Here is a 26,662-nt window from a genome sequence, read left to right on the forward strand (position 1 = left end):
TTTTGTGTCTCCATTTCCTTCAGTTCTGCACTGATTTTAGTTATTTCTTGCCTTCTGCTAGCTTTTGAATGTGTTTGCTCTTGCTTTTCTAGTTCTTTTAATTGTGATGTTAGGGTGTCAATTTTGGATCTTTCCTGCTTTCTCCTGTGGGCATTTAGTGCTATACATTTCCCTCTATACACTGCTTTGAATGTGTCCCACAGATTCTGGTATGTTGTGTCTTTGATCTCGTTGGTTTCAAAGAACATCTTTATTTCTGCCTTCATTTCGTTATGTACCCAGTAGTCATTCAGAAGCAGGTTGTTCAGTTTCTATGTAGTTGAGCAGTTTTGAGTGAGTTTCTTAATCCTGAGTTCTAGTTTGATTGCACTGTGGTCTGAGAGACAGTTTGTTATAATTTCTGATCTTTTACATTTGCTGAGGAGTACTTTCCTTCCAACTATGTGGTCAATTTTGGAATAGGTGTGCTGTGGTGCTGAAAAAAATGTATATTCTGTTGATTTGGGGTGGAGAGTTCCGTAGATGTCTACTAGGTCCACTTGGTGCAGAGCTGAGTTCAATTCCTGGGTATCCTTGTTAACATTCTGTCTCATTGATCTGTCTAATGTTGACAGCAGGGTGTTAAAGTCTCCCATTATTATTGTGTGGGTGTCTAAGTCTCTTTGTAGGTCACTCAGGACTTGCTTTATGAATCTGGGTGCTCCTGTATTGGGTGCATATATATTTAGGATAGTTAGCTCTTCTTGTTGAATTGATCCCTTTAGCATTATGTAATGGCCTTCTTTGTCTCTTTTGATCTTTGCTAGTTTAAAGTCTGTTTTATCAGAGACTAGGATTGCAACCCCTGCCTTTTTTTGTTTTCCATTTGCTTGGTAGATCTTCCTTCATCCTTTTATTTTGAGCCTATGTGTGTCTCTGCACATGAGATGGGTTTCCTGAATACAGCACACTGATGGGTCTTGACTCTATAACCAATTTGCCAGTCTGTGTCTTTTAATTGGAGCATTTAGTGCATTTACATTTAAAGTTAATATTGTTATGTGTGAATTTGATCGTGTCATTATGATGTTAGCTGGTTATTTTGCTCGTTAGTTGATGCAGTTTCTTCCTAGCCTCGATGGTCTTTACAATTTGGCATGATTTTGCAGTGGCTGGTACCAGTTATCCCTTTCCATGTTTAGTGCTTCCTTCAGGAGCTTTTTTAGGGCAGGCCTGGTGGTGACAAAATCTCTCAGCATTTGCTTGTCTGTAAAGTATTTTATTTCTCCTTCACTTATGAAGCTTAGTTTGGCTGGATATGAAATTCTGGGTTGAAAATTCTTTTCTTTAAGAATGTTGAATATTGGCCCCCACTCTCTTCTGGCTTGTAGAGTTTCTGCTGAGAGATCAGCTGTTAGTCTGATGGGCTTCCCTTTGTGGGTAACCCGACCTTTCTCTCTGGCTGCCCTTAACATTTTTTCCTTCATTTCAACTTTGGTGAATCTGACAACTATGTGTCTTGGAGTTGCTCTTCTCGAGGAGTATCTGTGTGGCGTTCTCTGTATTTCCTGAATCTGAATGTTGGCCTGCCTTGCTAGATTGGGGAAGTTCTCCTAGATGGTCCTCTTCGAGGAGAACTACAAACAACTGCTCAATGAAATAAAAGAGGATACAAACAAATGGAAGTACATTCCATGCTCATGGGTAGGAAGAATCAATATCATGAAAATGGCCATACTGCCCAAGGTAATTTATAGATTCAGTGCCATCCACATCAAGCTACCAATGACTTTCTTCACAGAATTGGAAAAAACTACTTTAAAGTTCATATGGAACCAAAAAAGAGCCCGCATCACCAAGTCAATCCTAAGCCAAAAGAACAAAGCTGGAGGCATCACACTACCTGACTTCAAACTGTACTACGATGCTACAGTAACCAAAACAGCATGGTACTGGTTCCAAAACAGAGATATAGATCAATGGAACAGAACAGAGCCCTCAGAAATAACGCCGCTTATCTACAACTATCTGATCTTTGACAAACCTGAGAAAAACAAGCAATGGGGAAAGGATTCCCTATTTAATAAATGGTGCTGGGAAAACTGGCTAGCCATATGTAGAAAGCTAAGACTGGATCCCTTCCTTACACCTTATACAAAAATTAATTCAAGATGGATTAAAGACTTAAACGTTAGACCTAAAACCATAAAAACCCTAGAAGAAAACCTAGGCAATACCATTCAGGACATAGGCATGGGCAAGGACTTCATGTCTAAAACACCAAAAGCAATGGCAACAAAAGCCAAAATTGACAAATGGGATCTAATTAAACTAAAGAGCTTCTGCACAGCAAAGGAAACTACCATCAGAGTGAACAGGCAACCTACAAAATGGGAGAAAATTTTCACAATCTACTCATCTGACAAAGGGCTAATATCCAGAATTTACAATGAACTCAAACAAGTTTACAAGAAAAAAACAAACAACCCCATCAAAAAGTGGGTGAAGGACATGAACAGCCACTTCTCAAAAGAAGACATTTATGCAGCCAAAAAACACATGAAAAAATGCTCACCATCACTGGCCATCAGAGAAATGCAAATCAAAACCACAATGAGATACCATCTCACACCAGTTAGAATGGCAATCATTAAAGAGTCAGGAAACAACAGGTGCTGGATAGGATGTGGAGAAATAAGAACACTTTTACACTGTTGGTGGGACTGTAAACTAGTTCAACCCTTGTGGAAGTCAGTGTGGCGATTCCTCAGGGATCTAGAACTAGAAATACCATTTGACCCAGCCATCCCATTACTGGGTATATACCCAAAGGACTATAAATTATGCTGCTATAAAGACACATGCACACGTATGTTTATTGTGGCTCTATTCACAATAGCAAAGACTTCAAACCAACCCAAATGTCCAACGATGATAGACTGGATTAAGAAAATGTGGCACATATACACCATGGAATACTATGCAGCCATAAAAAATGATGAGTTCATGTCCTTTGTAGGGACATGGATGAAATTGGAAATCATCATTCTCTGTAAACTATCGCAAGGACAAAAAACTAAACACCGCATATTCTCACTCATAAGTGGGAATTGAACAATGAGAACACATGGACACAGGAAGGGGAACATCACACTCTGGGGACTGTTGTGTGGTGGGGGAAGAGGGGAGGGATAGCATTAGGTGATATACCTAATGCTAAATGATGAGTTAATGTGTGCAGCACACCAGCATGGCACATGTATACATATGTAACTAACCTGCACATTGTCCACATGTACCCTAAAACTTAAAGTATGATAATAATAAAATAAAGTAAAATAAAATAAAAGGAAGCCATAGAGACTGGAACGAAGTGGCAGTTTTTCAGGTGCTGAAAGAAATGAACAGTTAACTCAAAATTTAATATCCAGTAAAAGTGATCCTTCAGAACAAGGAAAAAAATCAAGACATTCTCAGACGGAAAACTAAGAAAATGTGTCCCCAGCAGACCCACAATAAAATAATGACTAAAGGAAGTTCTAAACAGAAAGAAAAGGATAAAAGAAGGAAGCCTGGAAAATTAGAAGGAAGGAAAAACACTATAAGCAAAATCATGGGCACAAGCAGTAAGCTTCTCTTCTCAGTTTTTAAAATTGTCTGATAGTTGAAATAAAAATTAAAACACTGAAAAAAAAAAACCCTTGGGTGGTAGAGAGAGTTTCATGACAGGGACCAGCAAAAAGTTCATATTGGGACTCTATTACACCCCCAGGTGAAGCAAATGTTGTCACCATCCCATGTGTCCAAAGCCTACTGTTAAGGGCCTGAGTCTAACAAGTGAATACAGTGCAAAGTTGGAATTGTGATCTTCATATGTGGATCTGGCCACAGGTGGGATGGTGGTTCATTTCTGGATCTAGCTCATAGGCATAATAATAAGCCTCATCCCTGAACCCAGCCTACAAAAGACATGTTGACTGTTATAACTGGGTTTAAGGCAATATGCAAGATTATGAATCCAAAGAAGCATGTAGGCTTCAGAGTGGCTTGCAACTCTCATATATGCAGTATAAATCCTTCAAATGTTGTAGTGTCATACAATGGCCCAGGAAACATGTTAGATTGTGACTCTCATATACACATCCAGCTCACAGTTAATGGTGTCACACTCAAAGACAAGGAAATTTGGCCTATTACTAGGCTTAGCACCCAGGTGTTGAGACTTTTTGGGTTAAATTCCTTACCATGGGTACATTGTGACATATCGCTGGGTTAGAATCAAAATAATGTAACTATTCTGCCTGGACGCTGACAACAGGGAATATTATCACGTATCTGTGGGCCTATAAGCTAGTTGATTTGTCTCTTCTGCCTCTGCCCTGTCCCCAGAGGACATTGTGAAATATCATTTGACTTAACATCTAGGTCATGTGATTCTCCTCTCCTGCCTGGGTCCTGCTCACCAAAGAAATTGTGACATATCGCTAATTGCAAAATCTAGGTGATGTGACTTTCATCCATATTCTAGGTTCTTCCAGGAGAGGGGATTATTACATATTGCAGAGCCTAGCACTCAGGTAGAGTGGCTCTCCTCTTTTTTTTTCTTCCCTGTCTATGGTCGGCTTAGTGACATACTATTTGAGGCTGTACCCAGGTGATGTGACTCTTCTGACTAGGCCCAGCCTGCATATGAGATTATGCTGTATCACTGGCTAAGCACCCAGATGATGTGACTCTCCTGCCTTGTCCCTGCTCACAGGTGAAATTGTGACATATATGTGGGTTAATCACACATGTGCAATAATAAGTCTCATACCTGGATCCAGTCAGTAGCGGTATTTTGACTCTCATAGCCAGTCTCATGGCTATGGGTAAAGTCCTGGATTTTTCACTTGCATAAAGTTCACGAAGAATTATAGCACTCAGGTATATCATATAAAGCCGTAATGTTACAAAGAGTGTCATAACAGAGACCAGCAACCAGGTGAGAATGTGAGTCTTATGTGCACACCTAGCTGACACGATTGTCATTCTTGCACATGAACAGGGCCTTGGAATGAGGTACTGAATCTCACACATATAAAGCAATTGAAGGTTGAAATAACTACTTTCATACAGGGATCTTGTTCACAGGTGGCTTGGTAACATTTGAACCATGATTCAGCACACCTGTGGTGCTGTGACTCCCCTACTGGAACACAATCTTCAAGTGGGATTGGGGCTGTTATACATGGATCTTGTGCATTGTTGAGACTGTGACTCCTCTACTTAGACCCAACTCATAGAAAGAGTTGACTCACATGCACGAAACCAGGGCTTGTGTGGGATGCGAAACTTATATCCAGACCTTTCTGGGAGTGTGATTGGGACAGGTAACTTTCCCCAGCACATTAATAATTTCACTCTCTTTTCTAGGCCCAGACCACAGAGAAAATTGTGCCATACATAGAACAAGCACCTAAGCAATATATAATGGCTTCCTTGGCTCTGCCTATAAAGGGCACTTTTATATATACTGGGACCTCACCCAGGTGATGTGAATTATCTGCGAAAAGCCTACCTACAAAGAGAACTGTGTCTTATATCTAGGTCCATCACATAAGTGATGTAACTCCCTTCTACTGCATTGGCGAGGCATTTACAATGCATTGTGACACATAACTGGGTACTTCACCCAGGCGATGTGATTCTCCTTTTGGGTTCTGCCAACAGGAAGCATTGTAACATATCACTTGGCTCAGCACCTGGGTGATGTTTTTTCACTTTTGCCTGCGTCCTGGCCACAGGGAAATTGTGACATATTGCTGGGCCCAGCAACAACATGAGGTCACTCTCCAGCTTTGGTATTGCCCATTAGTACCATTGTGACATATATCTAGGGCAATTGCATAGGTGAAGTGAGTCTCTTGCCAAAGTCCTGCCCATAAAGGAGGTTTTGATATGTCACTGAAATCAGGATCCAGATTATGTGACTCTTCTGCCAGTGTCCTGTCCACAAGGTGGATTGTGACATCTCACTGGACCTGAACCCACATAGGTGATGTGACTTTCTTGCCTTCTCTCTGGCCACAGGTGATATTCTGTCATATACCTGAGACCATAACAAAAGCCTAATAACAACTCATATGCCTGAAGCCAGGACACGTGCAGGATGGTGACTCTTATTCTTAAACCTTTTCACAAGTGTAATTGTGACATATATATTTGCCCAGCTCCTGAGTGATTTAATAATTATGCCTAGGTATAGCCCACAAATGAGATTTTGACAAGTACCTGGGCCAAGCACCTTGGTGATTTGATGGTGCTATCTTAACAGTGTCCTCTGGGGGGATTGTAACATATTGCCGGACCCATCATCTAGGTTACATGACACTCCTCTCCTGCCTGTACCCTGCTTCCTTTGGCAATTGTAGCCTTTCTAAACACTGCATCCAAATGATATGACTCTCTTGCCTGGGCCCTGTCAACAGGCAGCATTGTGAAATATTTTTTGGCCCGTCATTAGGTAATATGACTCTCCTCTCCTGCCTAGACACTGCCCACAAAGAACATTGTGCCACAGAGCTGGACCTAGCACACAAGTTATGTGATGTTTCTGACAGGACCCAGCCTACAAAGAGAATATTGGAATATTTCTGGTCCAGCATTTAGGTGATGTGGCTGTTCTGCCTGCTTCATAACCACAGAGGGAATTGTAATATATACCTAGGCACAGCTCACAGGAATGATAATGGCTTTCATATGTGGACTCAGCCAATAGAGGATATTGTGACTCTTATAACTAGGTTTAGGGACATGTGTGATGTCCTGGATCACCTTCTTGTGCAAATGCCACAAAAGAATACAACACTCACACATATTTTACAAAGTCTTTGGGTTATACAGAGTTAAATCAGTGCTCAGCATACAGGTGAAATTGTGAGTCTTGTACGCACTCCCAGCTGACAGTAAGGACTGTCATCATCTCACATGGATGAAGCCAACTGTCACACATGAAAACAGGACATATGCGGTATTGTAAATCTCATCTTTGGAATTTTCTGGCAGTGTGATTGTGATATAAATTTTTGCCAAGCACCTGTGTAATTTGACTCTCCAGACTTATTCCAGCCCATACATGGGATTGTGATACCTACCTAGCCCAAGCTCGAGGTGATGTGACTCTCCTGCCTGGGCCCTTCACTCAGTAAGGATTGTGACATATCACTGGATCTAGCGCCCAGGTGATGTTACATTTTTACGGGCGCCATTCCCACCAAAATTATTATGACATATTTCTGTGTTCATCTCATAGGTGATGTAACTCTCCTCTCTGAAATGGGCTGTGCATAAGGGAATGATAGTGAAATATTGCAAGGCCAGGCACACAGGTGAGGGTACCCTTTTTCCAGAGCCGTGCCCAAAGGAGAGCATTGTGATGTATCTCTGGGCCTATCATCTAAGTTATGTGGCTCTCCTGCTTGGGCCCAGCAAACCGAGAGAGTGATATATTTCTAGGTCAGGCACACAAGTGATGGTACTCATTGTCAGGGCTATGCTTCATAGAGGACATTGTGACATATTTCTGGGCCTATCACCTAGGTGAAGTGACTCCCTCCTTGGGCCCTCCCACATGGTGAATTGTGGCATAAGCAGATAACCTGCACCTAGGTGATGTAACACTCTTACCTGGGTGTTGTCCTAAGAGATCCTTGTGACATATCTCAGGACCCAGCTCCCGAGTGATGTGGCTCTTCTGCCTGGTTTCTGCCCAACATGTTTCATTGCGACATATTCCTAGGGAAGCACCTAGGTGATATGACTCTCTTCATCTGCCAGAGCCCTTCCTGGTGGGGACATTGGGGCATATCTCTGAGCCCATGACCTAAGTGATGTGACTCTGTTTTTCTGCCTGGGCCTTCACAATAGGAGGATTTTGACACATAGCTGAGCCCAGCACTCAGGATATGTGGCTCTCCTCTTTTTCCCAAACCATGCCCACAAAAAAGGAATTTTGACCTATTGCAGGGCCCATCACCCAGATGATTTTACTCTTCTGCCTGAATTCTTCATAAAGAGAAAATTATGGCATATTTCATATTGCTGGGCCCAGCACCCTTATGATGTGACTTTCCTATGCTGAAGCCCTTGAAGGTATTTTTATATTTCTTGGGCCCATTGGGTAGGTGTTTTGGGGCTCCCATAACTTGTCTGGGTTTTTTCCTCATGTGGAATGGTGTCATATTGTTGGGTCCAGCACCCAGTTAATGTGGCCCAATTTCCCAGCCCTGCCTAGAGTAGGCATTGTGACATATTGCTTGTCACAGCACCTAAGTGATGTTATCCTCCTGCCTAGTTTTTTGCCAACAAATGAGATTATGACATATACCTTGTTTCAGTTCACAGGCATGATGATCAAACTTATATTGGGATTAAGCCAACAGGAGATATTTTCCCTCAATTGCTAGACTTAGGACAATAGGTGAGGTCCTGGGTTGCATATTTATACCAAGCTCACAGAAGCTTACACCACTAACTTATATTGTATAAACTCTTTTGTGGTAGAGAGTTTCATAACAGGAAACAGTAAAAAGTTCAGATTGGGATTCTTGATTACACCCCCAGGTGAAATTAAAAGTTGTCACCATCCTACATTTACAAAGCCTGCTGTTGAGGTCCTGAGTCTAACAAAGTAATAAAGCAAAAAGTTGGAATTTTGACTTTTATATGTGGATCTGGCCACAGGTGGGATGGTGACTCATTTCTGGACCCAGCCCACAGGCTTAGTAATGGGTCTTCTCCCTTAACCCTGCCTATAGGAGAGACGTTGACTATCAAACCTGGATTTAGGGAAATATGTAAATTGTGAGTCCATAAGCCTCAGAGAGGTTTGCAACTCTCAAGCAGGTTTTATAAAGCCCTTGGATATTGTAGACAGTGTCATACATTGGCCCAGCACATATGTGTGATTGTGACTCTAATATACACACTCAACTAAAAGTTAAAGGTGTCACCCTCAAAGATCAGGAGATTGTGTCATATCACTGGGCCCTAGTACCCAGGTGTTGAGACTTTTTGGCTCAAATTCCTTTCCATGGGTGCATTGTTACATATCGCTGGGTCAGAATCATAATACTGTAACTCTTCTGCCTGGGCCCTGTCAACAGGGGATATTATCACATGTCTCTGATCCTATTAGCTAAGTGATGTGTCTCTCTTCCCAGTGCCCTCCTACAGGGGACACTATGACATATCACTAGATACAGTATCTAGGTAACGAGACTCTCCTCTCCTGCCTTGATCCTGCCCACTGAAGAATTTGTGACATACCACTGAGTGCAAAACTTAGGTGATGTGACCCTCCTCTTTGTGCTGGACTCTGCCAAGAGAGGGAATTTTTACATATTGCTGAGCCCAGCACCTGCGGGGTGTGACTATCCACTATTTTTTCAACCCTGTTTTCATTGGGCATGATGACATATTATTTGAGACTGTACCCAGGTGATACGACTCTTCTGCCTGGGTCCTGTCTACAGAGGAGATTATAATATATTCCTGGCTCAGCACCCAGATGATGTGACTCTTCTGTCTTTTCTCTATGCAAAAGTGAAATTGTGACATACACCTGGATTCAGCTCATATGCACAATAATAACTCTCATACATAGACTCAGCCAGGGAGATATTTCAACTCACAGGCAGTCCTATGACCATGGGTAAAGTCCTAGATATCCCACCTGTAAGAATTCACAGAAAAGTATGCTACTCAGGCATATCATATAAAGCCTGAGTGGTATGAAGAGTGTCATAAAATGCACCAGAAACCAGGTACTGTTGTGACTCTTGGATGCACACCCAGCTTATACGATTGTCATTCTCACACATGAACAGAGCCTATGAATGAGGTGCTAAATCTCATGCATATAAGCAGTTCACACTTGAAATTGTTACTCTCATACATAAATCTGATCCACAGGTGGTTTGGTGATGTTTGAGCCATGATTCAGCCAACCTGTTGGGCTTTGACTCTCCTACTGGAACACAATCTTCAAGTGGGATTGGGGCTCTTATACATGAATTTTTCCCATTGTTGAGATTGTGACTCCTGTGTTTTGACCCAACTCATAGGAGGTGTTGACTCTCATACCTGAAGCCAGGTCTTGTGTGGGACTGTGAAACTTATTTCTGAACATTTTTGAGTGTGTGATTGAGAAGTATGACTTTGCCGAGCATCTGAGTGTTTTGACTCTCCTTTCTAGGCTCAGAGTTGAAATTGTGACATATGTGCACCAAGCACCTAAGTGATGTGTAACACCTTCTTTGGCAATGCGACAAAGTGCACTTTTACATATCACTGGGACCAGCACCCAGCTAATGTGAAATCTTGACCTGAACCCTGCCTACAAACAGCATTGTGTCTTATCTAGGTCCATCACATAAGTGATGTGACTTCCTTCTACTGCCTTGGCCCTGCACTTATGGTGCACTGTGACACGTAACTTGGTACTGCACCCAGGAGATGTGATTCTTTTTTGTGGGGGAGTGATTCTGCCAATAGGAAGCTTTGTAACATATCACTTGTCTCAGCAACTAGGTGATGTTTCTTCTCTCTTGCCTGGGCCCTAACCATGAGAGAGATTGTGACATATTGTTGAACCCAGCACCAAGGTGAGGTCACTCTCTTACCTTGGTCCTGCATGCAGGGGCCATTGTGACATATAGCCATGCCAATTGCCTAGGTGAAGTTTGTCTCCTCTCTTGCCTAAGCCCTTTCTACAGCGGGGATTTAGATGTATCACCGAAACAAGCCTCCAGGTGATGTGACTCTTCTTCCAGAGTCCTGCCCACAAGGAGGATTGTGACATTTCACTGGACCAGCACCCACTCAGGTGATGTGACTTTCCTTTCTTCTCTCTGCCCACAGGTGATATTTTGCCATGTACCTGAGACCATATCAAAGACCTAATAACAACTCTTGTACCTGGAGCCAGGACATGTGCAGGATGGTGACTCTCATCCCTGAACCTTTCCATAGGTGTTATTGTGACATATACCTTTGCCCAACTCCTGAGTGATTTAATAATCCTGCCTAGTTACAGCATATAGATGACATTTTGACATATACCTGGGCCAAGAACCTTGCTGATTTGACCCTCCTCTCTTAGCAGCCTCCTCAGAAGGGATCATAACATTTCTCTGGACCCATTGTCTAGGTAATGTGACTCTCCTCTCCTGCCTGTACCCTGCTTCCAGTGAAGAGTGTAGCATTTCTAAGCACTGCATTCAAATCACATGACACTCTTGCCTGAGCCCTTTAAACAGGAGGCATTGTGACATATATCTAGGCCCATCATTTAGATGATATGACTCTCATCTCCTGCCTGGACGCTCCCCACAGGGGACATTATGCCATTGAGCTGGGCCTAGCACCCAAGTTTTGTGACTTTTCTGTTAGGGCCCTGCCTACAAAGGGAATATTTGATTATTTCTTGCTTAGGATTTAGGTGATATATTTGTCATGCCTATTTAATAACCACAGAGGGGATCATGACATATACCTAGGTACAGGCATGATAATGACTCTCATATGTGGACCCCACTAATGGGAGAAATTTTGACTCTTATAACTAGGATTAGGGACATGAGTGATGTCCAGGATCTCCTTCTGACAAAAAGATCACAGAAGCTTACAACACTCACACATATTTTATAACATCCTTGGGTTGTATAGGGAGTGTCATAACAGGGCCTAGCACACAGAGGAAATTGTATCGTATGCACACCCAGCTGACAGTAAGGACTTTCACAATCACGGATGGATAAAGGCAAATGTCATACATGAAAACAGGACATGTGTGGTTTTGTAAATCTAATCCCTAGAACTTTATTGCATCGTGACTGTGATATAAATTTTTGCTAAGCACCTGTGTGATTTCACTCTTCAGACTGGTTCCAGCCTACGTATGGCATTTTGATATCCACCTGGGTCAACTTCGAAGTGATGTGACTCTTCTGCCTGGGCCCTGCTCTCAGTAAGAATTGTGACATCACTAGATCCAGCACCCAGGTGACATTACATTCTGCCTGCACCATGCTCACAGATATCATTGTAACATATCACTGTGTCCATCAATTAGAAGATGTAACTTTCCTCTCTGGAATGGGCCCTGCACACAGGGCAGGTTAGTGACATATTCCTAGGCCAGGCACACAGGTGATGATACTCTTTTGCCAGAGCCATGCACAGAAGAGGGCATTTTAACATATCACAGGGCCTATCATGTAGGTGATATGGCTCTTCTGCTTGGGACATGCCCACTTGAATAGTGACATATGGCTAAGCCAGCCACAAAGGTGATGGTACTCTTTTGCCAGGGCCATGCTTTAAGGAAGGCTTTGTGACATATCTCTGGGCCTATCACCTAGGTGATGTGACTTCCTGCTTGGCCCTGCCCACATGGAGCATTGTGACATAAGGGTGGAACCTGAACTTAGGTGATGTAACTCTCTTGCCTGGGTCATTTTCTAAGGGGGACTTGTGAATATCTCAGGACCCACGATCAAATGATGTGGCTCTTCAGCCTGGTTTCTGCCCACATATTAAATTTTGACATATACCTAAAGAAGCACCTAGGTGATATGATTCTCTTTTTCTGCCTGAGCCCAGCCTACTGGTGACATTGGACAATATCTGTGAGCCAATAGCCTAAGTAATGTGATTCTCTTCTGTCTGGGCCTTTACAATGGGAAGATTGTGACATATTGATGAGCCCATAATTTGGGTCATGTGACTCTTGTCTTGTTGCTCAACAATGCCTATGAACAGCACTTTTGCCATATTTCAGGGCCCAGCACATGGATGATGTCACTCTTCTGCCAGGTCATGCATAAAAAGGAAATTATAGCACCTTTCTCGGCCAAGAATCCTAATGATGTGACTCTCCTGCTTGTGCCAGAGCCACAGAATGTATTTTGACATGTTGTTGGCCCATTCTGTAGCTGTTTTTGCTCTCATCATTTTGCTGGGTTTCTTCCACGTATGGTTTTATCATATTGCTGGCTCAGGCCATCAGTTAAGGTGAGCCTCTTTCCTACGCCCTGCCTAGAGAGGGCATGGTGACATATTGCTTGGCACAGCACCTAAGTAATGTTAACCTTCTGCCTTGTTTTTTTGCCACAAATGGGATTATGACATATAACTTGCTTCAGTTCAAAGGCATGATGATCAAACTTATTTTGGGATTCAGACAATAGGAGATATTTTGCCTCTCACCAGTAGGTTTAGGTCAATAGATAAGGTCCTTCATTCCGTATTTGTACAAAGCTCACAGAAGTTACAACAATAACTCATATCATAAAAACTTCTTGGGTGGTACAGAAAGTTTCATAACAGGGCCCAGCAAAAAGTTAAGATTGTTACTCTTGACTACACACTCCAGTGATAGTAAAAGTTGTTACCATCCTACATTTACAAAGTCCATTGTTGAAGTCCTGAGTCTAACAAATGAATACAGCACAAAATTGGAATTGTGACTTTCATAAGTGAACCTGGCCACAGGTGCGATGCTGACTCATTTCTGGACCCAGCTCATAGGCATAATAGTGATCTTATCCCTGAATCCAGCCTATAGAGAATTGTTGACCGTCATACCTGGGTTTAGGACAATATGTAAGATCATGAGTCCATATAAGCATGTAGGCCTCAGAGAGGTTTGCGGCTCCCATGCATGTTTTATAAAGTTCTCAGATGTTGTAGAAAGCATCATACAATGGCCAGCACACATGTGAGATTGTGACTCTCATATACACAACTAGCTAACAGTTAATGGTGTCACCTTTAATGAGAAGATTGTGTCATATCCTTCGGACTAGTACCCCGGTGTTTAGACTTTTTGGTTTAAATTCCTTTCCATAAGGGCATTATTAACATATCACTGGGTCAGAATCACGATAATTAGACTCTTCTGCCTGGGCCCTGCAAACGGGATATTTTCAGGTATCTCTGGGCCTACAGGCTATGTGATATGTCTCTCCTCCCTGTGTCCTGCTCACAGGGGAAACTGTGACATATCGCTAGATATAGCATCTAGATAATGTGACTCTCCTCTCCTGCCTGGATCATGCCCACTAAAAATACTATGAAATACCACTGAGTGGAAAACCTAGGTGACATGACTCTCTTTGTCCTAAACTCTGCCAAGAGAGGAAATTATTATGTATTGCTGAGCCCAGTACCCAGCTGGTGTGATTCTCTTTTTCTTCTTCAAACCTGTCTACAATGGTCATGGTGACACATTACTTCAGGCTGTACCCAGGTAAGGTGGCCCTTCTGTCTGGTTTCTGCCCACATGTTAAATTGTGACATATAACTAGGGAAGCACCTAGGTGATATGACTCTCCTTTTCTGCCTTGGCCCTCCCTACTGGGGACACTGGCATGTATCACTGAGCCCATGACCTAAGTGAAGTGACTCTCTTCTTCTGCTTGGTCTTTAAAATGGGTTATTGTGCCATATTGCTAAGCCCAACACTCAGGTTATTTGACTCTCTTTTTTTTCTCAAACCATGCCCACGAACAGAAATATTGACCTATTGCAGGGCCCAGCACCCAGATAATGTTACCCTTTTGTGTGGGTCCTGCATATAGAAGGAATTATGGCATATTGCTGGGCCCAGCATCCTGATAATGTGAATCTCATACCTGTCCCAACACCACAAAAGGTATTTTGACATATCCTGGGCACATTATGTAGGTGTTTTGGCTCTCATCCCTTGGCTAGGTTTTTTCCACATGTAGGATGGAGTCCGATTGCTGAGTGCAGCACCTAGTTAACGTGACACTAATTCTTATACCCTGCCTAGAGAGGGCATTGTGACATGTTGCTTGGCACAGCACCTAACTGATGTTACCCTCCTGCCTAGATTTTTGCCCACAAGTGGGACTATGACATATACCTTACTACAGTTCACAAGCATGATGGTCAAACTTATGCTGGGATTCAGCCAACAGGAGATATTTTGTCTTTCATCACCAGGCTTAGGGCAATAGGTAAGGTCCTGGGTTGCATATTTGTACCAAGCTTACAGAACTTTACAACACTAACTCATAATGTAGAAACTCCTTGGGTGGTACAGAGAGTTTCATGACAGGGACCAGCAAAAAGTTCAGACTGGGACTCTCAATTACACTCCCAGGTGAATGCAAATGTTGTCACCATCCCACATGTCAAAAGCCCACTGTTAAGGTCCTGAGTCTAACAAGTGAGTACAGTAAAAAGTTGGAATTGTGATCTTCATATGTGGATCTGGCCACAGGTGGGGTGGTGACTCATTTCTGGATCTAGCTCATAGGCATAATGATGGGTCTCAACCATGAACCCAGCCTACAAAAGACACGTTGACTATTATACCTGGGTTTAAGGCAATATGTAAGATCTTGAATCCATATGAGCATGAAGGCCTCAGAGTGGTTTTCAACTCTTCTGTATGCTGTATAAAGCTTTTGAATGTTTTAGAGTGTCATACAGCAGCCCAGGAAACATGGGAGATTGTGACTCATATATACACCCAGCTCACAGTTAATGTTGTCAACCTCAAAGACAAGGAGATTTGGCCTATTATTAGGCCTAGCACCCAGGTGTTGAGACTTTTTGGTTCAAATTTTTTTCCCATTGGTGCATTGTGGCATATCGCTGGGTTAGAATCATAATAATGTGACTCTTCTGCCTGGACACTGCCAATGAGAGATTTTATCACATATCTCTGGACCTATTAGCTAGGTAATTTGTCTCTTCTGCCTCTGCCCTGTCCCCAGAGGACATTGCGACATTGTGAAATATCATGACTTAACATCTAGGTCATGTGACTCTCCTCTCCTGCCTGGGTCCTGCTCACCAAAGAAATTGTGACATATCGCTGACTGCAAAACCTAGGTGATGTGACTCTCTTTCATTTTCTAGACTCTGCCAAAAGGGGATTATTACATACTGCAGAGCCCAGCACCCAGGTAGAGTGACTTTCCTCTTTTTCTTCTTGTCTGTGGGGGGCTTGGTGACATACTGTTTGAGGCTGTACCCAGGTTATATGACTCTTCTGACTAGGCCCAGCCTACAAATGAGATTATACTGTATAATCTCAGGTGATGTGACTCTCCTGCCTTGTCCCTGCTCACAGGTGAAATTGTGACATATACCTGGGTTAATCACACATGTGCAACAATAACTCTCATACCTGGACCCAGCCAGTAGAGATATTTTGATGCTCATAGCCTGTCTCAAGGCCATGGGTAAAGTCCTGGGTTATTCACTTGTATAAAGTTCACGAAGGATTATAACACTCAGGTATATCATATAAATATGTAAATATTACAAAGAGTGTCATAACAGAGACCAGCAGTGAGGTGAGAGTGTGACTTTTATATGCACACCTAGCTTACGTGATTGTCATTTTCATACATAAACAGGGCCTTGGAATGAGGTACTAAATCTCACACATAAAAGGCAGTCGAAGGTTGAAATAATTTCTCTCATACATGGATCTGATTCACAGGTGGTTTGGTAACATTTGAACCGTGATTCAGCACACCTGTGGTGCTGTGACTCCCTTAATGGAACACAATCTTCAAGTGTGTTTGGGCATCTTATACATGGAACTTGCCCATTGTGGAGACTGTGACTCCTCTACTTCGACCCAACTCATAGAAAATGTTGACTCACATACACGAAACCAGGACTCATGTCGGATGTGAAACTTATTTCTGAACTTTTCAGAGTGTGATTGGGACAGGTAACTTTGCCCAGCACATGAATAATTTGACTCTCTTTTCTAGGCCCAGACCATAGATTTAATTGTGCCATGTTTGGAACAAGCACCTAAGCAATATATAACACTTTCATGGCTTTGCCTACAAAGAGCACTTTCATATATCACTGGACCCATCACCGAGGTGATAGGAATTATCTGCAAAAAACCTTCCTAAAAAGAAAATTATGTCTTTTACATTTATGCAGCCAACAGACACATGAAAAAATGCTAATCACTGGCCATCAGAGAAAAGCAAATCAAAACCACAGTGAGATACTATCTCACACCAGTTAGAATGACGATCATTAAAAAGTCAGGAAACAGCAGGTGCTGGAGAGGATGTGGAGAAATAGGAAAGCTTTTACACTGTTGGTGGGACTGTAAACTAATTCAACCATTGTGGAAGACAATGTGGTGATTCCTCAAGGATCTAGAACTAGAAATACCATTTGACACAGCCATCCCATTACTGGGCATATACCCAAAGGATTAAGAATCAGGCTGCCATAAAGACACATGCACACGTATGTTTATTGTGGCACTATTCACAATAGCAAAGACTTGGAACCAACCCAAATGTCCATCAATGATAGGCTGGATTAAGAAAATGTGGCACATATACACCATAGAATACTATGCAGCCATAAAAAAGGATGAGTTCATGTCCTTTGTAGGGATATGGATAAAGCTGGAAACCATCATTCTGAGCAAACTATTGCAATGACAGAAGACCAAACACCACATGTTCTCACTCATAGGTGGGAAATGAACAGTGTGAACACTTGGACACAGGGTGGGGAATATCACACACTGGGGCCTGTCATGGGGTGGGGGGAGGGAGGAGGGATAGCATTAGGAGATATACCTAATGTAAATAAGGAGTTAACGGGTACAGCACACCAACATGGCACATGTATACATATGTAACAAACCCGCACGTTGTGTATATGTACCCTAGAACTTACTCTTGTACAGAGGTCACAAAAGATTATAACACTCACAAATATTTTATAAAGTCTTTGGGTTACACAAGGTCAAAGCAGGGCTCACCACACAGGTGAAATTGTGAGCCTTGTATGAACACCTAGCTGACAGTAGGAACTGTCATCATCTCACACGGATGAAGACAACTGTCACACCTGAAAACAGGACATGTGTGGTATTGTAAATCTCACCTATGGAATTTTCTGACAGAAAGAAAGAAAGAGAAAGAAAGAAAGAAAGAGAAAGAAAGAAAGAAAGAAAGAAAGAAAGAAAGAAAGAAAGAAAGAAAGAGAAAAGAAAGAGAAAAAGAAAGAAAGAAAGGAGAAAGAAGGAATGAAAGAAAAAAGAAAGAAAGAAAAAGAAAGAAAGAAAGAAAGAAAGAAAGAAAGAAAGAAAGAAAGAAAGAAAGAAAAAAAAAAGAAAATTATGTCTTCTATCTAGTTCTGTCATGTAAGTGATATGAGTCCCTTCTGTTGCCTTGGCCCTGCACTTACAGTGCATTGTGACACAAAACTGGGCGCTGCACCCAGGTGATGTGATTCTTCTTTTTGGGTTCTGCCAAAAGAAAGCACTGAAACATATCACTTGGCTCAACATCTAGGTGATGTTTGTTTGCCTTTGCCTGTGCCCTGACCACGGGGAGATTGTGACATATTGCTGGGTCCAGCACCAATGTGAGGTCAGTCTCCAGCTTTGGTACTGGGCAGAAGAGACATTGTCACATATACCTAGGCCAATTGCCTAGGTGAAGTGAGTCTCCTCTCTTTCCAAAGTTCTGCCCACATAGGAATTTGTCATGTCACTGAAACCAACATCCAGGTAATGTAACTCTTCTGCCAGGGTCCTGCCCACAAGGTGGGTTGTGACATCTCACTGGACCTGCACCCACGTGGGTGATGTGACTTTATGGCCTTGTCTCTGGCCACAGGTGATATTGTGCCATATACCTGAGACCATAACAAAAGCCTAATAACAACTTATGCCTAGAGCCAGGACATGTTCAGGATGGTGACTCTTATTCTTAAAACTTTGCACAAGTGTAATTTCGACATAAACCTTTGCCCAGCTCTTGAGTGATTTAATAATTCTCCCTAAGTATAACCCACAAATCAGATTTTGACAAATATCTGGGCCAAGCACCTTGATGATTTGATGGTGCTATCTCAACAATGTCCTCAGGAGGGGTTGTAACATATTGCTGGACCCATTATCTAGGTTACATGGCTATCCTCTTTCGCCTGTACCCTTCTTCCTTTGGTAAATGTAACATTTCTAAACACTGCACCAAATGATATGACTCTCTTGCCTGGGCCCTGTCAACAGGCAGCATTGTGACATATTTTTGGGCCCATCATTTAGGCGATATGACTCTCCTCTCTGCCTGGACACTGCCCACACGGGATATTGTGTCACAGAGCTGAACCTAGCACACAAGTTATGTGATGTTTCTGACAGGACCATGCCTACAAAGAGAATATTGGAATATTTCCGGTCTAGCATTTAGGTGATGTGGCTGTTCTGCCTGCTTCGTAACTACAGAGGGAATTGTAACATATACCTAGGCATGGCTCACAGGAATGATAATGGCTCTCATATGTGGACTCAGCCAATAGAGGATATTATGACTCTTATAACTAGGTTTAGAGACATGCATGATGTCCTGCATCACCTTCTTGTACAAAGGTCACAAAAGATTATAACACTCACAAATATTTTACAAAGTCTTTGGATTATACAGGGTCAAAGCAGGGCTCACCACACGGGTGAAATTGTGAGCCTTGTATGAACATCTAGCTGACAGTAAGAACTGTCATCATCTCACATGGATGAAGACAACTATCACACCTGAAAACAGGACATGTGTGGTATTGTAAATCTCACCTATGGAGTTTTCTGACAGTGTGATAGTGACACAAATCTTTGCCAAGCATCTGTGTAATTTGACTCTCCAGATTTGTTCAAGCCCATATATGGGATTGTGATATCCACCTAGGACAACCTCGTAGCCATGTGACTCTCCTGCCTGGGCCCTTCTCTCAGTAAGGATTGTATGTGACATAATACTGGATCTAGCACCCAGGTGATGTTACATTCTTGCCTGCACCATGCCCACCAAAATTATCGTGACATATTTCTGTGTTCACCTTATAGGTTTTGTAACTCTCCTCTCTGTAATGGGCCCTGCACAAAGGAAGGGTAGTGACATCTTGCAAGTACAGACACACAGTCGAGGGTACTCTTTTGCCAGAGCCATGCCCAAAGGAGGGCATTGTGACATGTCTCAGGAGCCAGCACCTAGGTGTTGTAACTCTTTTTGCTGGGTGTTGTCCTAAGAGAGCCTTGTGACATATCTCAGGACCCAGCACCCAAGTGTTGTGGCTCTTCTGCCTGATTTCTGCCCACATGTTACATTGTGACATATTCCTAGGGAAGCATCTGGGTGATATGACTCTCTTCATCTGCCTGATCCCTGCCTACTGGGGTCATTGCAACATATCTCTGAGCCCATGACCTAAATGATGTGACTGTTTTTCTGCCTGGGCCTTCACCATAGGAGGATTTTGACACATTGCTGAGCCCAGCACTCAGGATATGTGACTCTACTCTTTTTTCCAAACCTTTCCCACAAAAAAAGCTCTTTTGACCATTGCAGGGCACAGCACCCGGATGATATTACTCTTCTGCCCGGGTTCTTCATAAAAAGAAAATTATGGCACATTTCATATTGCTGGGCCCAGCACCCTTATGATGTGACTCTTCTGCCTGTGCTGGAGCCACCGAAGGTATTTTGAAATATCTTGGGCTGGTTATGTACATGTTTTGGCTCTCATAACTTGACTGGGTTTTTTCCACATGTGGGATAGTGTCATATTGCTGGATTAGAATTATAATAATGTGACTCTTCTGCCTGAGCCCTGCAACGGGATACTATCACATATCTCTGGACCTAACAGCTAGGTGATATGTCTCTCCAGCCTGTGCCCTGCCCCCAGATGACATTTTGAAATATCACTAACACTAGCTTCTAGGTAATGTAACTCTCCTCTCCTGCCTCGGTGTAGGAGATTGGTCAGGGTGGTGGAAAAAACTGCAGAAAGATGCAAATCTTCTTTGAAGGCCAGAAGTTTTTATACAAAACCTTCAGAATAGGATTTGGCTTGAAGCAGGCAGATTCTCTTATCCGGTGCCTGAAAGCTTAAGTTAGATAACAAGGGGATGTTAAGAAACTGATCTAGATAAGTTAGTTTACTTAGGCCTCGGAACCTGGCCTTTAATCATTGGCAAAACTGCTCTCTTCAGGGAGGGCAACCATGTTAACTATCCCCAAGTGTGATGACTCAAGGCCTTTGTCATTAAATCTATACTGCATAAATGCCCACAGTGCCAGCTTGTGAGGGCTGTGGCTGCTGACTCTTTACAGCACCCTCCTCAGGGTCTGTAAGTGGCCTGGTCCCCTAGCGTGCTCTTTCACTGGATACCTGTGTCTGAGTGCATTCCTTCATACGTCGTTCAGCCAGGGTCTGTGGGTCAGACCCAGAAGGTGGTGCCCCATGTGAGGAACACTGCAACAAATCACCACAGAACTCTCAAAAATGAAGGTAAATAGACTGCACAGTCAGTAAGTCAGTCTTTGGTGCCCGCTCAGGATTTCCAAGTTCGAGGGCATTGTTCAGGCTGGGGTTTCATCATGGGACAGCAGTTATCAGCACAATAGAAGCAGTATATAAAAGTATTGAAACAGCTGCTTAAAGCTAGTGGAGCCTCGGTTTCACAAGCTCAATTAAGGGACCTAATGCAAACTGTTGTATCCCATAACCCATGGTTCCTGGAAGAAGGTATGCTAGATGTAGAGCTCTGGGAACAGGTGCGGAGAAATCTTAAACAACATCATGTGCAAGGGCAATGGGTCCCAGTAACATCTTTAACGTTATGGGCTTTAGAACAGTTCTGGTCCTGCTCTACACAGAAGAGCCTAGACAGGGAAGGGAGGAAGAACCATCACCTACCTTACTGCCTCCTTATCCCTCAGCCCCGCCATCACTGGGCCAAAATAACAAAGAGGAAATGGAGGTTGTGCCTGAGCCTGCTCCTCCAATAGACTGAATAAAAGACAAGGGATACACTACAGCTATGGGACCCTGTCTTTGGCAAGTGGCATTAGAAGGGGAGCTCTTACCCTGTCCGGTAATGCAAGATCAACAAGGCAATCAGGTACATAAAGAGATAAGGAAAAGCATTAAAGATAACAAAGCTGCTAGCCCATTTACAAAAAGGATTAATTAAAGCTATAGCAAATAACTCCCGTATGACTCCACGGACTGGTCAGTGCTCACTAAAACAACTTTAAACACCAGTCAATACCTCTTCTGGAGGGCAGAAATTGATGAATTATGTCAACAGCAAACCTCTTTCTAATAACGGCCACTGTTTTTCCTCCTCTACCCCTCTTGTGGCTCTCTCAAAATCCTATTTGGGTAGAACAGTAGCCTTTAAAGGTAGGGAAATTACAAAGAGCCCAAGAGTTAGTTGAGGAGCAATTAAAAGCCAGCCATATAGAACCACCAAACAGCCCTTGGAATTCACCCATTTTCATCATTCCCAAAAAGTCTGGTAAATGGAGACTTTTGTATGACTTATGTACCATTAATGCTAATTTGCAAGTTTCGGGGCCCCTTCAGCAAGGACTCCCCTCCCCCACAGTGATTCCTTGAGATTGGCCTATAATCGTTATTAACTTAAAAGACTGCTTTTGTAATATTCCCCTAGCAGAAGAGGACAGAGAAAAATTTGCATTTACAATACCAGCTATCAATAATGAAAGGCCAGCTCACCAATTTCATTAGAAAGTGCTTCCTCAAAGAATGCTGAACAGTTCTACCATGTGTCAGTATCATGTAAATCAGGCTTTGCTACCCAGTAGAAAATAATTTCTTAATTGCAAGATTATTCATTTTATGGATGATATTTTACTAGCAGCCCCAACAGAGCCAGTACTTTTAAAGTTACATGCCTCTGTAGTAAAGAATACACAGTTAAGAAGTTTAATCATAGCACCTGAAAAAGTACAGATGTCTTCTCCTTGGAAATATCTTGGGTACATACTAACTTCTCGATCAGTAAGACCTCAAAAGGTTAAATACCAGCAACTTATACACCTTAAATGATTATCAGAAATTACTAGGTGATATTAACTGGCTTTTCCCCACCTTAGGCATAACTACTGATAAGGTACAGAACCTGTTTTCTGTCTTAAAAGGCAAAGCTACCCTAGATTCTCCTAGGCATTTAACTCCTGCAGCACAAAGGGAAATTGAAGAGATAGAGCAAACTATTTCTCATAGGAAACTAGATCGCATAGATCCGTGGTATTCAGTTCAATTGTTTATTTTTCCCACTAAACACGCTCCTACATGATTAACAGGACAGATGGTCCCAGAGCTATGCTTTCTAGAATGGGTTTTTTGCTCACATACTGGGACTAAAACACTCTCTCCCTATATCCAGTTAGTCAGTAAAGTCATCTATTCAGGCCATGGATTATGCAATCTGACCCTGATATCATCATAATTCCTTTAAGTAAAAAGCAATTTGAAGTAGTGATGCCCTTATCTATGGACCTGCAAATGGCAGTCTCTGATTACACAGGCCATACAGAGCATGCCCTCCCTGCTGTCAAACTCCTTAAGTTCTTATCTTGTACTTCTGTGGTTTAGCCTACAAAAATAGTTCAATCCACCACAACTAAAGTTTTTTTTTTTTGAGACGGGGTCTCGCTCTGTCGCCCAGGCTGGAGTGCAGTGGCGCGATCTCCGCTTACTGCAAGCTCCATCTCCCGGGTTTACGCCATTCTCCTGCCTCAGCCTCCTGAGTAGCTGGGACCACAGGCGCCCACCACCACGCCAGGCTTTTTTTTTTTGTATTTTTAGTAGAGACAGGGTTTCACCGTGTTAGCCAGGATGGTCTCAATCTCCTGACCTCGTGATCTGCCCGCCCGGCCTCCCAAAGTGCTGGGATCACAGGTGTGAGCCACTGTGCCCAGCCTACCTTTTAATACTGTTTAGTAATGTCTCTGGTAAACATGGAAAAGCAGCGGTTTGGTAGAGACCACGTAATTCCCTCACTCGTTCTGGATTTACTAGCACTCAGAGAGCTGAGGTTGGAGCCTTAATATTTTGCCTTGGAAACTTTTTCCCCTCAGCCCGTTAATACTGTTAGTGACTCTGCTTACTCTATTTATTGCAGAACCTTGAAACAGCCCTCATTAAGTCCACTCTGGAGCCCACCCTGTGTGCACTTTTCTCCGACTTCAGCAAATTGCTAGATCAATGCACACATCCTATTTTTATTGCACACATCCTATTTTTATTACACACATTCAGGGCCACAGCTCACTGCCTGGCCCATTGGCTTATGGCAATGATCAAGCAGACCGACAGGTTATGACATCACTGCTTGACCAAGCTACCCAATCACATCAATTTTTCCACCAAAACTGGAGAAAATTATCTAAACAATTTCAACTTACCCAAAGACTAGCTAAACAAATTATCCTACAATGCCCAGATTGCCAGCTCACAGGCACATCCCCTCCTTCAACAAGTGTTAACCCTAGAGGACTAGAACCTAATCATTTATGGCAAATGGATTTTACACACATCCCTGAATTTGGAAAGGCTAAATATGTACATGTATCTGTTGATACCAATTCTCATTTAATACAGCACTCAAGCTCTTCCTGGAGAGTTCACCCTGTATGTCATTAAACATCTTCTTCTAACTTTTGCATTTATGGAGCAGCCCACAAAAATTAAAACTAATAATGGTCTGGCTGATGCCAGCCCACAATTTCAATAATTTTGTCACACGTGGAATATCCAACATTCCACAGGCATCCCGTATAGCTCTCAAGGACAGGCCATAGTAGAACGGGTCCACTCCACCCTTAAAAATATTCTCAGTAAACAAAAACAGGGGACTATGAGTAAGGACTCTGCAACACTATTGGCACAAGCCTTATTTACCCTTAATTTTTTAAAATTTAGATGATAAATTTCAATCAGTTTTTGAAAAGCACTTTGCTAAAACCTCTAAGACATAAAACTCGCAGTTTTTTGGAAAGATGTAAACAGTAATATATGGTGTGGGCCAAATGAATTGAAGAGGATATGCTTATGTTCACACCCCCTCAGGTTCTCTTTGAATTCCAGCATGATGCATCGAACCGTACCATGACATGGCTAGGACCCAACCTGGTACCAGAAATGAAGAAAATGACCCTACAGGACCCACAGCCCTGGACGCTGTGGCTTCCTTGGACAACACAGGCCCCAGACATTATGCTGAAGAAGCAGAAGGCTTAGCAAATCCTGCTCCAAGCCGAAATACCTGTCACTCCAAATAATTTGTTCCATTTTTATTCTCTCACTCTGCCTACAACTGGTACCTGCTACACTCTATTGGGCTCATCTCTTAAATCCATCTTTCTTCTGCCCTGTTACTTAGACAAACACCCACTTCCCAGCTTCTAACAACGTGACGGCTTGGCTAAAAGGGATTAATATACCTTCAGTGGGGTTCCGTAGCAATGGCACACATCAGACTAAGGTACCAGGTCACTCCTTGATTGGAAAATAATGTTGCTAATAATACTCATGTTTGTCTTATGTTATTTACTAATTCTAGGATGAAAAGCCAGAATACAAGCAGTGACCACCACACCTGACAGACCTCTTGCTGCACATATCTGTACTCTCCAATTAACAAAACCTGATGCTAAAAACAGAAAAGAGGGGAGATGTAGGAGATTGGTCAGGGTGGTGGGAAAAATTGTAGAAAGATGAAACCTTGGAAGGCTGGAAGGTTTTACAAAAGCTTCAGAATAGGATTTGGCTGAAGGCAGCCAGATTCTCTTATCCTGTGCCTTAAAGCTTAAGTTAGATAACAAGGGGATATAAAGAAACTGATCTAGGTAAGTTAGTTTACTTAGGCCTTGGAACCTGGCCTTTAATCATCTGCAGGACTGCTCTCCAGGGAGGGCGACTATGTTAATTATCCACAAGTGTGTTAACTCAAAGCCTTTGTTATTAAATTTATACTGAATAAATGCCTGCAGTGCCAGCATGTCAGGGCCATGGCTGCTGACTCTTTATGGCACCCTCCTCAGTGTATGTAAGCTGCCTGGTCTGTTAGCTCGCTGTTTCACTGGATATCTGTGTCTGAGTGCATTTCTTCATCTGTCACTCGGTCAGTGTCTGTGGGTTGGACCAGGTAGGAACTGAAAACCAAACACCACATGTTCTCACTCATAAGTGGGAGTTGAACAAGGAGAACACATGGAGACAAGAAGGGAAACATCACACACTGGGGCCTTTTGGGGGTTTAAGGGCTAGAGGAGAGATAGCATTAGGAGAAATACCTGATGTAGATGACGGGTTGATGGGTGCAGCAAACCACCATGGCACTTGTATACCTATATAAGAAACCTGCAGGTTCTGTGTATGTATCCCAGAACTTCAACTATAATAAATAATCTTTTTAATAAAAGAAAGAAAAGAAGCAGGCTTAGGCTGTGTGTGGTGGCTCACACCTGTAATCCCAGCACTTTGGGAGGCCGAGGCGGGCAGATCACCTGAGGTCAGGAGTTCAAGACCAGCCTGGCCAACATGGTGAAACCCCATCTCTATTAAAAATACAGAATTAGCCGGGCGTAGTGGCGCAAGCCTGTAATCCCAGCTACTTGGGAGGTTAAGGCAGGAGAATCACTTGAACCTGGGAGGCGGAGGTTGCAGTGAGCCGAGATCGTGCCGTTGCACTCCAGCCTGGGATAAAAGAGTAAAACTCCATGTAAAAAAAAAAAAAGAAAAGAGAAAACAGATTAACAGATTACAAAAAGCGCTGCTGAGTTTCTGAGAAGTAATA

The 26,662-nt window shown here is 42.7% G+C and overlaps 1 long non-coding RNA gene across 7 annotated transcripts; it reads left to right on the plus strand.

Annotated features, from left to right (window-relative positions):
• Window positions 1–10,652: 10,652 nt before the first annotated feature.
• On the plus strand, window positions 10,653–25,857 carry LOC105375811 (uncharacterized). Of its 7 annotated transcripts, none has more exons than XR_928829.2 (5): window positions 10,653–10,846; window positions 15,916–15,962; window positions 20,397–20,526; window positions 21,774–21,955; window positions 24,934–25,857. It is a non-coding gene; the product is annotated as an uncharacterized LOC105375811 (long non-coding RNA). The 7 variants fall into 7 exon arrangements; XR_928828.2 differs by adding an exon at window positions 10,882–11,170 and having other exon boundaries at window positions 10,653–10,772; window positions 20,397–21,955; XR_928827.2 differs by having other exon boundaries at window positions 20,397–21,955.
• The last annotated feature ends 805 nt before the right edge of the window (window positions 25,858–26,662 follow it).

The sequence above is a fragment of the Homo sapiens genome, chromosome 8 (genome assembly GCF_000001405.40).
Source record: "Homo sapiens chromosome 8, GRCh38.p14 Primary Assembly".
Taxonomy (NCBI): domain Eukaryota; kingdom Metazoa; phylum Chordata; class Mammalia; order Primates; family Hominidae; genus Homo; species Homo sapiens.